The sequence below is a fragment of the Homo sapiens genome, chromosome 7, assembly GCF_000001405.40.
Source record: "Homo sapiens chromosome 7, GRCh38.p14 Primary Assembly".
In the NCBI taxonomy this organism is placed as follows: domain Eukaryota; kingdom Metazoa; phylum Chordata; class Mammalia; order Primates; family Hominidae; genus Homo; species Homo sapiens.
In genome coordinates this window covers 3,778,760-3,794,969 of record NC_000007.14, presented here as the reverse complement: position 1 = coordinate 3,794,969, position 16,210 = coordinate 3,778,760, and the positions used below count along the sequence as shown (strand labels likewise).

General features: G+C 42.1%; 1 protein-coding gene across 1 annotated transcript in view, besides 1 other annotated feature; it reads right to left on the bottom strand.

Moving 5' to 3' along the window:
* Nucleotides 1-16,210, bottom strand: part of SDK1 (sidekick cell adhesion molecule 1) — a 967,749-nt gene that overhangs the window by 474,031 nt on the left and 477,508 nt on the right. The gene's annotated exons all lie outside the window — the stretch shown is intronic.
* Nucleotides 6,806-7,306: an enhancer, noted in NCBI's record as "H3K4me1 hESC enhancer chr7:3827296-3827796 (GRCh37/hg19 assembly coordinates)". NCBI's record gives its function as "activates a minimal SCP1, AML or CMV promoter by ChIP-STARR-seq in primed H9 embryonic stem cells {active_cell/tissue: H9 hESC(primed)}" and the evidence as "EXISTENCE:reporter gene assay evidence [ECO:0000049][PMID:30033119]".

The window sequence follows — 16,210 nt, the reverse complement described above, 5'->3', positions numbered from 1 at the left end:
GTAACAACAACATGAATAGTGATCTTTTTTTTTTTAAATAAAAAGCTCATTAATATTTTCTTAAAGGCCAAGTTTAGTGTCCAAAAATTCATGAAGGGCAACAGACAGAGGATCTAGAACAGATGTCTTCAGGGCCAATGAAATGGAGGAAAGAGGATGATGTCCACGTAGAGCATGGATGCATCCTGTGTTGATCCATTTTCTGTTTCTGAAATTGGGTGATCTATACAGAAAGTGAATGTATATCTTACAATTACGGGGTCTGAGAAGTCCAAGGTCGAGGGACTATATCTGGGGAGGGCCTTCTTGCTGTGAGGACTCTGCAGAATCCAGGCAGTAGAGGGCCTGACATGGCAAGGGGGTTGAGGGTGCGAACTTAGGTCCCTCTTCCTCTTCTTACAAAGCCATTGGTCTCACTCCCATGATAACCATTAATCCATGAACCCATTATTCCATTAATCCATGAGCCTTCATGACCCAGTCACTTCTTAAGAGCCCCACATATCAATACTGCCACATTGGGGATTAGGTTTCCACATCAGATTCAGAGGGAATAAACATTCAAACCACAGCATGTCCCAAAGCTATGCCCTTGCCATATATGCCTTTTTTTTCTTCCTATTTTTAAAATCGTTATAAAAATTTAAAAAGAAGCTAAAAGGGGAATGTTAAATAGCAAGTTCAGGTCAGTGTCTGTGTCTTGAGGGACAGGAGATGTGGGAAGGGACATTCGGCCATGCTGCTGATCTTTTACACCTTCAAGGGGTCAGCTGGGTATGTCCACATTCACGCCGTTCTCCTTTATACTTGCTTTGCATATCTGAAATACCTCATGATACTTTTTTTAAAAAAGGTAAAATCATAAAACGTAAAATAGATTCAAAGAGTGCATTCAATTGTATAAAGATAGCATGCTTCTTAAAGATGAAACATATTTGGCATGTGGTAAGTCTGAGGGCAGCCGACTACTAGGATGTGGGGGTTGGAGGTGCCCTTAGAACAAAAGGCCTTCAGCAGTAGAGGATTTTCACATTCCCCAGAACAGGGCAGGGAGCACCCTGCTCCCGGACACCAATGAGGTCCTCATCAGGCTTAGGTAGATCCACCTACATCTTCCAAGGTGACTGCCATTGTGCAGAAATATGGCTCTCCACCCCCACCCCTGCATAAGTCCACTCCCTTTCTGTGATGCCAGAATAACCACACTCACTGCCATTAAAGAATCCAGTACTGTGAATGTGGACACTGCATTTATACTTTAAACTTTGCTTCCAACAGCTCAGTAAGTGGCAGAGGAGTGGAAGGTTTAGAAAGATACAGTTTGTAGCTTCCCAAATCTAAAGAAAAAACAAGATTGCTTAGTTGCTGACAACAGCTATAGAATCGACACAAGAAGGATACAAAAGCTGTAAAGGGCAGAGGATCACGGGTCCACTTAAAAGTTTGCACTAAGAAAGAAACCTGAAGACTATCTAAGGCACGAGGAAGCCTTTCATGAGCTGAAAGCCACCGTCATTGTGCACTGAAATATTCAGCGTTTGTCACGTCAATCGCTGGGCAGGATTTTCTTGTAGAGCATAAGATCTTCAAATACATAGCTTTTCTATCCAAGGAGAATACAACTTAGGCAGAGCTGATTATTAATAATAATCAGGTCTTTTCAAAGAGGAATGGAAGACAAGATTTAAAGCTGAGTAAATGAATCATTGACAGGATCTTTTAATATTGGAAATTTGCCTTCAAATTTAGAAATGTAATGTCTTTTACGGAAACAGACCAAAATATTAAAATTATAACCCTTACATGGAAATATAACTTTTTAAAGGGACATTTGGGTAGATATTTTTCATAACAGCACATCACTCTTCTTAATAGTACTAATTTTTGTCATTGTCCCATTTCTAGGATCTAAAATCCTTTGACCTTTTTTCCATTAGCTCCTACACAATTCTCAGTATCATTGTGAAATGAATCTTTTCCTCCCCCTTATGTGAAAGGCTTGAGTTATTACAAAGTTAACATTTCATTGTTCCAAAGCAGAACTGAATGCACTCATTAAGCTTTCTATGTTAAAACGCCAGTGCTAGAGGAAGGTGATGGGGACTGTAGGCAGGAACCATCAATGGTCCTGATGTTAAGTCAACAAGCTCAAGAGTGAGAGGTACAGAGAAGCAAATGGGTTGGATGGATGGGTGGATGGGAGACTGGAGGGGGAGGGGGTAGTAGTTGGACGGATGGATGGACAGACGGATGGATGGATGGATGGATGGATGGATGGGAGACTGCAGGAGGAGGGGGTAGTAGTTAGATGGATGGATGGACAGGTGGATGGATGGATGGATGGATGGATGGATGGGAGGGAGAAAGGGAGAGAAGGCAATATTCAGGCACCTGATGGCAGTGGGTTAGAGAGTGAGAGCATAAAAGCCTGATTTGCATTATTCGCTTATTCATCAACTAACATGAATGACACAGGTTAGTTTTCTGCTGGGTCTGCCTGGGCAGGGGAACAGTGAATATAAAGTTATATAAGTCACGGTGCATGCCCTCAAGAACGTAGATCTTAGGAAAACAACAAAATTAATTATCTAATGTTCACTAGAAATGATGGAAGAAAGAGAAGAGGAAAGCAAAGAGGGAGGAGGAAAGGCACATGCAGTTGAGTCTGTGGTGAAGGGGTGAAGGGGTTCAGGACCCATGGCCTCAGGCAATTGCAGGTCAGGATCTGGACATTTTAGGGCATGGAAGTGGGGGGCTGGAATGGTCTGGAGCCAGGCAGTTATGAGAGGCCCAGTTTAAGGTTAATGCAAGGGTTTTTTTTGTTATTTTGTTTTGTTATTTAGGAAGGGGGTCTCGTCCTGTTGCCCAGGCGGGAGTGCAGTGGTGCACTCATAACTCACTGCAGCCTTGAACTCCCGGGTTCAAGCAATCCTCATGCCTCAGCCTCTTGAGTAGCTGGGACTACAGGCATGAACCACTACATCTGGCTAATTTTTTTTTGCATTTTTTGGAAAGACAAACTCTCCCTGTGTTGCCCAGGCTGGTTTCAAACTCCTGGGCTCAGGTGACCCTCCCGCTTCACCCTCCCTAAGCGCTGAGATTACATGCATGAGCCACCATGCCTGACTCCATGCCAGTGTCAAAGCAATGCCAGGTACTGAGGAGCTTTGTTCCATAACTGGCCAAAAGACCCAGAAAAGAATGGCATCCATAGAGCACTCTCCGAACAGATCACCCTTGATTAAGGTCAATTTCACAAACTGATTCTCCTTTCAGAGACAGGAAATTGGATTCCGCTGAGTGGGCACCTGTTGTGAGCCCACTCATCCTTCTCCAATCGTCCTCCCCACCCAAGGGAGCAAGTGGTACCATCCCACTCGGTCTCTGCCTGGGTACTGAGGGGATGAAGGCCAGGCAGCAACCACATCGGCAGCCGCATCCCTCAGGATGGCAGCCTCTGCAGCATCGTGCTATTTTGGGCTCATGACTGATGACCCTGAGGGAACCTTAGAATGACCATCTGCCACGAAGTCAGTCTTTCCTTATGCTCACACCATGATGAGCTGGTCCATATGACATGGCTTCTGCCTCAGCTTCTTGTAAAATACGGAGCCCCGATACCTAAATAATTCAAAACAGTTCCCAAAGATTAAATCTGTTTCCACAACTCCTACTCACTGGCTGTAGTTCCACGAGGCGGATTCATCTAGTCCAGCACAATGTTGCTAGGTTACACTCCTCTTCACCTAAGCTCAGGTTTTGTCTGCCATCTCAGCCCTTAATGGTACAGGTGTTTTTTTTTTTGTTGTTTTTAAACTACCACTTATGTAATATTTACTACATACCAGTCACTGTTCTAAGAGCTTTAAGAGTATTAAATAATTTTTGTCACTCCCCAGGAACTAGGCACTGCTGTTAGACCCAATTTACCGATGAGGATACTGAAGCACAGAGAGGTTAAGTAACTTGCCCAAGGTCACACAGCAAGTGAGTGACGGAGCTGTGATTCAAACCAAGCAGGGTGGCTACCTCTTTGATTACTGTCAAGTTAATTTCTACACACTTTAGCTTCTGCCCCCAAAATGAATATTCCCCTGTCCCAACCTCCCTAGCCCCAAGTTCCACAGCCCAAAAGCAACCACTACCAGACTTGGTTTTGTGTGTGTGTTTTTGGCGACAGTTTCGCTCTTGTTTCCCAGGCAATAGCATGATCTCAGCTCACTGTAACCTCTGCCTCCCGGGTTCAAGCAATTCTCCTGCCTCAGTCTCCCGAGTAGCTGGGATCACAGGCATGCGTCACCATGCCCAGATAATTTTGTATTTTTAGTGAGATGGGGTTTCACCATGTTGGTCAGGGTTATCTCGAACTCCCGACCTCAAGTGATCCACCCACCTCAGCCTCCCAAAGTGCTGGGATTACAGGTGTGACCACCACGCCTGGCCGACTGTTAGACTTTTTAACCATGTGATCTGGTATTTGCCTCTGTGTGGGCCATTCGCTTCTGATTTCTCAGCTCCAAACCCACCTTTCCACACTATTCTCTGCAGACTGGTTTTGCAGGCCCCTTTGCCAGCTGGCTCCTCGTTAGAACCTGCCATTGAGCAGCCACAGGAGACTGGAGGGCGGGAAAAGGGAGAGGGGCTTTACCATGTGTTAAATCCCTCTGTTGAAATACCTAGTATAATTTCTGTTTTCAGATATAAATATCTGAAAGTCCTCTCTCTGAACCCATTCCATTTCTTCAGAGACAGCCCCCTGGCTTCTAAACTGTGACATAAACATCAGTTGCTGGTGTCTGAGGAAGGACGGCAGAAAATAGGATAGTGGCCCCACCATTCAGTCTGCAGACTTCTCCTCTCAGGTCCTCACCTCCCACTCTGCTACACCTGGCATTTGGACTACGGGGTCTTTCTCAACTTCTCCGCTGAATAACTATTTGGTCCTCGGGAAGGGGGAGAGGTGGTGGCAGGAAATGGTGCAGAGTTAGCTGGCGACCATGCTGTGTGTAAACTTCCCACCACTCCTGCCACTTGCCCCCTACCCGCCCCCAACCCCCCAACACAGCCTGTCCTCGAGCCTGTCCAGGGTGCGCGGGTAAACTGATCTGCAGGCTCTCTGACTGCAACAGTCCCCGTTCCGCTGGTCAGCTCCTGTGTCTCCAAGTGCTTTCTATCCTGCAAAGGTCTCACAAGCCATCTCATCTACAGCCTCCTGCTGCCTCCTCTCCAATCCCTTTTCCCTCGTACCTCACACTTGATCTTCTTGTCTTTCTATCATCTTCATGGGGTTTCAGGAGGAAGAGATGATATAAGTGTAGAGTTAATGCTCCATGTTTGATCAGAAGTTGGATGATACACTTTTCCAACCTGTCACCACTTTTCTTTTTTAATTCCCAAAGTATATACACGTGACCAATGTTTCTAAAATAACCTAACACAAAAAGTCCCATTAAAATAACTAATTTTAAGAAGGGTTGCTTAGGAACACTTATTTATACCTGTAAAGTAGAAAAGCAGTTACAGGCTGGGCAGAGTGGCTCACGCCTGTAATCCCAGCACTTTGGGAGGCTGAGGCGAGTGGATCACCTGAGGTCGGGGGTTGGAGACCAGCCTGACCAACATGGAGAAGCCCTATCTCTACTAAAAACACAAAAATTAGCCGGGCGTGGTGGCGCATGCCTGGAATCCCAGCTACTTGGGAGGCTGAGGCAGGAGAATCGCTTGAACCTGGGAGGTGGAGGTTGCGGTGAGCTGAGATCATGCCACTGCACTCCAGCCTGGGTAACAGGAGTGAAACTCCGTCCAAAAAAAAAAGCAGCTACAAGTGGAATTACTTTCCCCGGTTAGTGGCCTTCCCTAGGGTCAATCTATTTCATTCTTTCAGGCTGTATCCTTGACAAACAGTATTATCATATCTTGTATATGGTCAAGCTCTGCTCCCTCAGAAAGGAGCTTGTCAGCCGTGGCACTTGTGCCAACCAATGACAACCCATGCTCAGGGAACAGAGGGGAGCCCCCGTAAACAGTTCTATTCTACATCTAAATCCCATCCCATGCCCAGGTCTTCTTCTCAGGACTGAGCAGGAGACTCACGCAGCCTACAGGCTCAGCCCTGAATTCTGTCTCCTCTCTCGGAACTGGGAGAGGCAAGGGCGAATGATGCTTTTTGAGGGACCTTTGGGTAGCACTACTTGACACACCACACAAATGACTTAAAGCAAGCTTGCCCAACCCGCGGACTGCTTTGAACACAGCCCAACACAAATTCATAAACTTACTTAAAACATTATGAGATTTTTTTCCTAGCACATCAGCCATCGGTAGTGTTAGTATATTTTATGTGGGGCCCAAGACAATTCTTTTTCCAACGTGGCCCAGGGAAGCCAAAAGATTGGACACCCCTGACCAAAAGGTATAGGAATCATGGCATCAGAATCACACAGCATGCAGAATTCTAATAGGACATGTGATTTCTTTGCCTTCGGGAGATAATTCCACTTCAAATGCAGACTGGGTGGTAGATATCACAGACAGACTTGTTCTACCCCACCTTATCCCCTCTGCACAGACTCTCCGGCCTGGCAGAAGCTAGAAAGCACGAGACTGCATTTCTCAAACTCCTTGTGGAGTTTCACACACTGACCGCACACCCTGTTATGGGCGATGGAGGGAGACACAAGGTGAGACCAGGTTTCTGCTGTTCTGACAAGCGTGCGTATGAAGGTGTCTGGTGTCCGGCAGCAGTAGCCACCCATGACTGTTGAGAGGCGGGGACACTGCTGAAGAAGCTGGTGCCCGAGCACTCTCTCCCAGAGCCAGTGAGTGCAGAGTGGCTTCCTGCTTCAATCGAAGCAGAAGGAGTGAGGTCCCGGGCCGGGAGGTGGGGCTGCAGCTTTGAGACTGTCCACTCCCCGGAGCACACGAGCTGTTTGGCATGATTCTCAGAGTCACTTCCAAGAGCCTGCCCTCCGGTCCTCCCACGGGCTCTCTAAGAAACTAACTCTCCTATTCAGTTCCTTTCTCTTCAGACTTCTGAGAGTGGCTTCTGTGCAACCGCATGTGACACTGACAGCCATACAAACTCCAGCGGTCCTGAGGTAGAAGGGCCCCAATGAAACCACGTCTTATGTTGAAATGCTTTCATGCAGGACTTCACAAAGCTACAGAACAGGTGAGGGACAGCAGAGAGAGTTGACTTGCTACACTTCTGCCATGCAGGTCAACTTCAGAGAGTTTTTTAGAGAGCATCTCTGAGTTAACTGTTTTCTGATGACCTGGCCAGTATTTTATAAGGAAAGGACAGGTAGGGCTCGGGCCAGCTGAAAAAAACAAAAAGGAATGGTCTTCCAGAGGAATGATACTTCGTATTTATAAAATGGTACTTTAGGAATCACTTAGACACAGAAATTGAGGAGAAGGGATTTTTTTTTTAACCAATGCCATTAGTTTTTCTAGAATTGCTCTCAGTTCCTGTTGGTATTTACCTCTTTTTACACAGGTTCATCTCTAGGGTAAGCTCAAATGGGAGGAACACAGCGTGTGCACAAGGCTCCAGTGTGATCAGCTGCATCATGTTGCTACGCTCTGTCACCTTTGCTTTTCTGCAAATGAAGTAACTATTTTCTTTGTGTTTTCCTGAGTTAATCAGAGTTTAGATGCTTATGTATAGAAAAAATAATTTTGTCAATTATAATTATCTTTCAAACAATGTCAGGTAATTAGGTGGGAAAAAGGAGAAAGACTAACGGCAATAGTCCACTGAGAAAAGTTTTCTGTATGGGAGTGTGTGTGTGTGTGTGTGTGTGTGTGTGTGTGTGTGTGTGATTTCAATACTAAGTCTTTTCTGGAATAAAGAATTTTAGTGACACGAATATATTGTCAAGTCTCATTTCCTATTTCCAACCTGAAAACAAAAACAATGTTTATGTCAACCACCACTAAAGTGTATGGGGAAAGATGTCTATCAATTCTGCTTGTCAGAGTAAGAGAACAATGTTTATACTCTATTTCTTCTATTTGCTTTGATATCTGAAAAAGATGAGGTGGAGCTCCAGTAATATGACTTTTATATGGATTAGTGTGTTGGTGGGGGTGTGGGGGAGCTGCAGGAGCCAAAGGGAGTTGTAGGGTGCCAGCTGTACAGTAGTACTACCGAGGTGTATTCCTCAAAACTTGTTTTAAAAAGGAAAACTGTAAAGCACAGGCACAGGTAACAGTTAAATCACGCCTCTTTTCTCCCTCTAGCCCTAACACAAACATCCATTTCATCAGCGAGAAAAAGACCAGAGAACGTACTCACTGTATAAAAATTCATCGGTATTAAGGCAAATAGGCTGTACTGTATTTCAGTCCATTCACTGAGACACAGAAATAATTTGATTAATCAGAAGACATCCAGTGCTGTTCTTTGCATTTTTGTCTGTATTCTTGTACATGGAGAGGCTTATAAGAGTATTAACTATAACCTTCTCTCTCATTATTTGTTTCACAATGTATGACCGTTGCTAGGCTAGGATTTAAGGTCCTGAACACAAAACTATCTGGTATGTTTTTTAAGTGAGAAAGAGGAGAAAAGCTACAAAATGCCCTGTAGGAAGTCTATTTCAATTAATATCACGTATTCCTCTACTCTAGGGTGAGGATTCACTAGAAAGCTGTGTTTAACTCTGCAACAAGTGGAAAACAGAGATTACTTATTATGCAGGAAGATAATAACTACAAAACAGGGCTGCACTTTAAGTCATCCAAGACATGCTTCTGTCCAGTACATAAATGCTTTTGACAAGGATGGAAGGAAGAAGGGAAAGAGTAAAAGAGATAAATTAACAGACAGAACCCAAAAGAAAGAGAACAAACAAGGAGGACTTAAGGAGAGCACTTTCGCTCTCTCTATTTCACTGCAATCCCAGCTTCTATGTTCAAAGAGACCACATTTGTGTTACCTACACGAGCACAACTGCATTATATGACAAATCCAGAAAACAAGATGCATGACCTAATAAAAGCAAGCAATCGCTAAAACTGTTAATTTGAAATAAAGACCACATTTCCTCAAGGAATATTTCTCTCACTATTTTGCATAGGGGAAAAAAGATAAATTCACATTTAACAGGATGATGATGTGACTGACAGCAGAAGCAACAACTCTCAACCAAGATCTGCATCTGTCATGCTTGGGACCTTTTTAAGAGGCTGTCTCCTCTTTCCTCACACTCACAATCTGAGCTCAGAAGTCTTATAATCATGAGCAAGTGTATTTTTTTTTAAATAAATGCCTAAATTTACTAAGTAATTTACCAGATATGTTCAAATTTCTTCCCCCTTTCCATCCAGTAGACAGTTACTTATAAAGCATTTACACCAATAGTCTGTTAAGAAAATAATTATTTAATTTGTAATGTTTTCTTATATTTTGTCTTCTGTTTTCACATGTCCTAAGCAGTCCAGCCTCCACTTTTTAAAATCTTTGAAAATACTTTTTAATTGTAAATTGACAATTCACAATTGCATAAATGTATGGGGTACAAAGTAATGTTATGATTGATTAATAAAATGTGGAATAATTAAATCAATCTCGTTAACATATCCATCAGCTCACATATTTAATGATTCTTATGGTGAGAACTTTTAAAATTTACTCTCAGACACTTTGAAGTGTACAATTCTCTATTATTAACTATATTCACCATGCTCAGCAACAAAACTAAAAAAAAAATTCCTCTTGCCTGAGATCTTTTAACTCTTGGACCATCACCTCCCTATTCCCCCCACCCTCCAGCCTCGATAACCATTATTTTACTCTCTGCTGCTATGAGTTATTGTTTCAGATTCACAGATGAGTGAGATTGTGTGATATTTGTCTTTCTGTGCCTGGCTTCTTTCACTGAGGATAACGCTCTCTGATTCCATCCATGCTGCTGCAAATGAAAGCATTTCCTTCATTTTTAAGGATGAATAGTATTCCATTACGTGTAAGTACCACGTTTTCTTTACCCAGTTATCTGCTGATGGACTCTTAGGCTGATTCCACAGCTCAGCTACTGTGAATAATGCTGCAGTAAACATTGGTGTGCACACGTCTTCAACACACTGATTTCAAATCTTTTCGGTAAATGCCCAGAGGTGGGATTGCCAGATCATATGGCAGTTCTATTTCTCATTTTTTTTGAGGAATCTCCACATAGTTTTCCACAATGGCTGCACTAATTTACATTTCCACCAACAGGGTTCCCTTTCCTTCACATCCTGGCCAACACATGTTATATTGTCTTTTTGAAAACAGCTATTCTGACAGGTGTGAGATGTAGTTTCTCATTGTGATTTCAATTTGCATTTCCTTAGTGATTTCTGATGTGACCATTTCTTCATGTATCTGTCAGCCATTTGTATGTCTTCTTTTGAGAAATGTCTATTCCAGTCCCTTGTCCATTTTTTTAATTAGAATTTTTTGTATTCTTTCTATTGAGTTGTTTGAGCTTCTTATATATTTTGGATATTAACCCCTTATCCAAAGTATGGTTTCTAAATATTTTTTCTTACTCTGTAGATTAGTTTTATAGTTTCTCATCTTATATTTAAGACTTTAATCCATTTTGAGTTGATTTTTATATTAATATATGGTGTGAAGTAAGAATCTAACTTCATTCTTTTGTGTATGGATATCTACTTTTCCCAAAGTCATTTATTGAAGGGGATATCCTTTTCTTATTGCATATTCTTGGCATAATATCTTTGTTGAAAATCAGTTGAATAGGCCAGGCATGGGGGTCATGCCTGTAATACCAACACTTTGACAGGCTCAGGGATGAGTCATTTCAGGCCAGGAGTTTGAGACTAGCCTGGGCAATATAGGGAGACCCTTTCTCTAACCAAAAAAAAAAAACAAAGAAAAGAAAAAAGAAAAAGAAAATAAATTTAAATCATATGCATGGGTTCATTTCTGGGGTCTCTAGTCTGTTTCATCTGTTGATCTGTTTCAGCCAGTCCCATGCTGTTTTAATTACTATAGCTCTGTAGTATAGTTTGAAACCAGGTAGTGTGATGCCTTCAGCTTTATTCTTTTGCTCATGATTGCCTTGGCTATTTGGGGGTATTTTTGTTTCTACATAAATTTTAGAATTGTTTCTTCTATTCCTATGAAAAATGATGTAGTTTTGATAAGAACTGCACTGAATTGGTAGGGTTGGTTTTGGTAGTATGGCCATTTAACAATATTAATTCTTCCAATCCATCAACATAAAATATTTTTCCATTTATTTGTATCTTCAACTTTTTTATCAACATTTTCTAGTTTTCAGTGTAAAGGTCTTCACTCCTTTGTTTGAACTTATTCCTAAGTAATTTTCGTAGCTGTTGTAAATGAAATTGTTCCCTTGATAACCTTTTAGATAGTTCATTGTTTGCATATAGAAATGCCACTGATTTTTGTGTGTTGATTTTGTATCCTGCAACTGTAATATATTCGTTTATTAGTTCCAACAGGGTTTTTTTTTTTTGGTGGGGTCTGTAGCATTTTCTATATATATAAGATCATGTTATCAGCAAACAGTGACAACTTCAGCTCTTCCTTTCCTATTACGATGCCTTCTATTTATTTTTCTTGCCTAACTACTCTGGTGAGGACTTCCAATGCTATGTTAAATATAAGTGGCAAGAATAGGCATGTTTGTCTATGTCAGAGGAAAGGCTTTCAATTTTTCACCACTGAGTATAATTTTAATTGTGGGATTCTCTCACACGGCCTTTGTTGTGTTGAAGTCCACTCCTTCTACAACTAATTTGCCGAGAATTTTTATAAAAAGATGAATTTTTGTCAAATGCTTTTTCGGCATCTAACAAAATGAGCACATGGCTTTTGTCCTTCATTCCATTAATGTGATATATCACATTTATTGATTTGTGTATGGTGAACCATCCTTGTATCGAAGAATAAATCCCACTTGATCATGATGAATGATCCCTTTAATGTGTTGTTGAATTCAGTTTGTTAGTATTTTGTTGAGAAATCTGCATCTATGTTCATCAAGAACACTGACCTTTAACTCTCTTTCTTATAATGTTCTTGTTTGGCTTTGGTACCAAGGTAATGTTGGCTTTGTAAAAAGATTTTTGGAAGTACAGACAATTCCTGACTTATAAAAGTTCAACTTAGAATTTTTCAACTTTACAATAATGCAAAAGCAATACATATTAAATTCAAATTTTGAATTTTAATATTTTTCTCAACTACTAATATGCAGTATGATACCCTTGCGTTACATATTCAACACTTTATTGTAAAATATAAATATAAATTCAGCACTTTGAATATACCATCTTGTTCTTTCAGTGTCTGCATGGCTTCTGCTGAGAAATCCACTGATGGTAGTATTGGTACTCCTTTGTATACGAAGTGTTTCTTATCTCTTGCTGCTCTCGGAATTTTTGTCTTTGATTTTTGATAATTGTATTACTATGTGCCTTGGTAAACTCTTCTATGGGTTGAATTTGATTGGAGAACTCTGCTTCCTGTACTTGGGTTGATATGATTTCACATTTATCCTCTCAATCTCACGGTAAACTGTGATCCACGTTCTTGGAGGTGAGGCCTGATGGGAGGTGTGTGGGTCATGGGGACAGATCCCTCATGAGTGGCTTGCTGCTCTCCCCATGGTAATGAGTTCACACAAGATCTGGTTGTTAGAAGGAGTTGGAGACCTTTTCCCATCACCTCTTGTTCCTGCTCTAGCGATGTGAGACAAGTGCTTCCCCTTTGCCTTCTGCCAGGATTGTAAGCTTCCTGAGGCCCTCACCAGAAGCACATGCTGGCACCATGCTTCCTGTACTGTCTGCAGAACCATGAGCCCATGAAACATCTTTTCCTCATAAATTACCCAGTCTTGGGTATTCCTTTACAGCAATGCAACAACAGCCTAAAACATGGGTATTGGCATCTGTTCCTATATTAGAAAAGTTTTCAGCTATTATTTCTTTAAATATAGTTTCTGGTGCTTTTTTCTCTCTGCTGTCCTTAATTCACATTATACAAAGGTGTCATCTCTTGACAGTGTTCATAACTCTCATAGGCTTTCTTCATTCTTTATCATTCTTTTATCTTTTTGCTCTTCTGGATTATTTCAAATGTTCTGTCTTCCAGATCACTAATTCTTTCTTCTGCTCGACAGTGTCTTCTGCTGAAGCTTTCTATTGAATTTTTCAACTCAGCCACTGTATTTTTCATCTCTAAGATTTGTTTTTTTTTATTGTTTCTATTTTTGGTCAAATTTCTTGCTTTCTTTGTGTACTGTTTTCCAAATTTTATTCAATTTTCTATCCATAGATTCTTGTAGTTCACTGAACTTCTTTATGAGTACTATTCTGAATTCTTTGTCAACAGTTTTACAGATCTCCATTTCTTTGGGGTCTACTATTGAAGCTTTATTAGTTTTCTTTGCAGGTGTCATGATTCCCTTGAGTCATTGTAATCCTTGTGTTATCTGCACATTTGAGAAGACAGTCCCCTTTTCTGGCCTTTACAGGTGTTCTTTGACAGGAATAGATTTCCACTATCTAATCTAGACTGTGATTCTGGAAGGGCCATCTGGTGATAATCCTGGGCAGGCAGAGCTTCATGAGAGTTCACAACTTAGTTGGGCTGCTGCTTTTGCTCTGATGTCAGGTGGGGTTGTGGGCCTGGCTTCCCTGTTTGATGAGATTGCTGGCTAAGTACTGCAATGACTTCTGGTCAGGCCAGTTACAGGATGTATTCCTTGGCCACTATTGAGATCTACAGTTGGGCAGGGCTATAGGCTGTTCTCTGAGGTTAGCAAAGTCATTGCTTGGGACAAGCAGACCAGAGGCTATGTTCCTTAGGAAATTCATGATTCAGGATTTCCTCCCTGTCAGGGTGGAGCTATGAGGTGGGCTTTTGACTGAGTTGAGTGACTGTTTGACCTCCTGGTCAGGCAGGTCTAGCCTCTATGCTTTTCTGAAATCCATGAAGGTGGGAGTCTCCCTGCTTACGTCGGGTCACTGGGTGGGCTTTTGGGCTGAGTGGAACTACTGCTTGCCTTCCTAGGTAAAGCTGATCTAACCCCTTCATTTCTCTGAAATCTGTGGAGCTGGGAGTCTCCTGGCTAGGGTGGGGTCATTGGGCAGGCTTTTTGGCTGAGTAGTGCTGCTGCTTGACTTTCTAGATCAAGCAAGACTAGCCCCTGCATTTATCCAAAATGCCAGGAGGTGGGAGTCTCTGCCTGCACAGGGTGGTTGGGTGGGCTTTCTAGCTAGGTGGAGCCACAGCTCGACTTTCTGGGTCAAGCTGATCTAGCCCCTTTGCTTCCCTGAAATGGGAGGAGGTGAATGTCTTCCTGCCTGTGCAGGCTTGTTGGGTGGGCTCTGAAGCTAGCCAGGGAGAATAGCATTCTAGGAACTCAGGCTAGGTAGAAATTCCTACCACGTTAATGAAGGCAACCAGCTTAGCTTTAAATGTGGGTTATGAAGTTGACTGGTATCTGCTATTGGGAGCCACAGCTGCCAGAAACACAGAGGTACCTCTAAGATCCATGTGCTGGTAACCATGACCTCTGCCTCCTTTCTTTGTTTCTACCTGACCCTAGGCACTGTGGCCATGCTGTTTCTCCTAGTGTTTCCTAAGAGGTGAGACCAGAGTGGGCTTCTTGTGAAGCATCCTGGAACGTTAGCATCACTAGATGACTGCCTCTGGTTCTCTTTCCCTGTGGCAGAAACTGTTGGTCCAGGGAAATCCTCTCAGTCTGGCACTGTGCCAACTTGGGAGATGGGAAGGGGCAGTGTGGTCAGAGTGAGACCATTCTTCTCACTCTCCTAATTCAGATTTCATTGAATTATGCAGATCACACAGGTATCTCAGGCTCGTTTCCAAGTGTTGACATTTTCAAAAAGATATTCTAGTCTGTGGACAGCTGCAAGTTCACCTTTTGGTGTGTGGGGGTCAGGGGAGTAGAGACTGAGGCTTCTGATTCCACTATCTTGCTGACATCATGCTCATCATCTTTTTTTTTTTTTTTTTTTTTTTGAGACGGAGTCTCCCTCTGTCGCCCAGGCCGGACTGCGGACTGCAGTGGTGCAATCTCGGCTCACTGCAAGCTCCGCTTCCCGGGTTCACGCCATTCTCCTGCCTCAGCCTCCCGAGTAGCTGGGACTACAGGCGCCCGCCACCGCGCCCGGCTAATTTTTTGTATTTCCAGTAGAGACGGGGTTTCACCTTGTTAGCCAGGATGGTCTCGATCTCCTGACCTCATGATCCACCCGCCTCGGCCTCCCAAAGTGCTGGGATTACAGGCGTGAGCCACCGCGCCCGGACTCATCATCTTAACTTTATTATTTTTTGAATATTTTAGTTTAGTTGCAGATTCTTATTTTAAATAGTATTAGAGAAAAGGAGAAGCAATATAAAGATCGTCAATATCCAAATATGAAAACGGTTTTCCAATCACCGATGTTTAAATATAAACAGGTCAGATTTGGTTAAATTTGTCCTTGTTTTTTTTTTTTAAAAAAAATAGGTTACTGGCTTTGCCACACCACTTCACAAACAAAAATCAACTACTGTTCGATGTCTCCCATCTGTCTCAGAATACGTTGTCATTCTGGTAGCTACAATGCAAAAGACGGAGCTGCCTTGCTCTTATCCACTCAAGAATGGGGATTTATTGCAGGCCATTTTTAAACTACTCTAGCCCTAACGTAATTGCTTTCTGAAGCGTAGGAGAGACAAGTTGGCCAACTCCAGCTCTGTATTCATTTTATTCACAATTTCTTGGACCAGATGGTATACCTAGTCCTAAAGATAGTGTGTTTATTTTTTCACATCAATCAATTTAAAATAATATAATCAGAAAAGAAACTCCGCAGAATTCTTAGCCAAATGATAAAAAAGGAACATCCATAATTTAATACTGCCTTTGTTAATTTCATTTTACTCTAAGGCATTCAATTAAAGTGTCATGCAATAAAAGCTGCTGCTACAATGGAATCTCAAATCCTATTAAGTGTCAAGGATGTTAAACCTACAAAACTAACAGATTCTTTAGTCTGAAACCATTTAGGTACTTTATAGTGCTGCCAGCTAGTCTCCCACCTGAGTAGTGTTTTACTGGAAAGGCGGTCTATAATTTGTAATCATTGAAGCACTTTGAAATCGACCCTGCAGGGCCCTTCAACCTTATTCAGTTTACATTAAATAATTATGAAC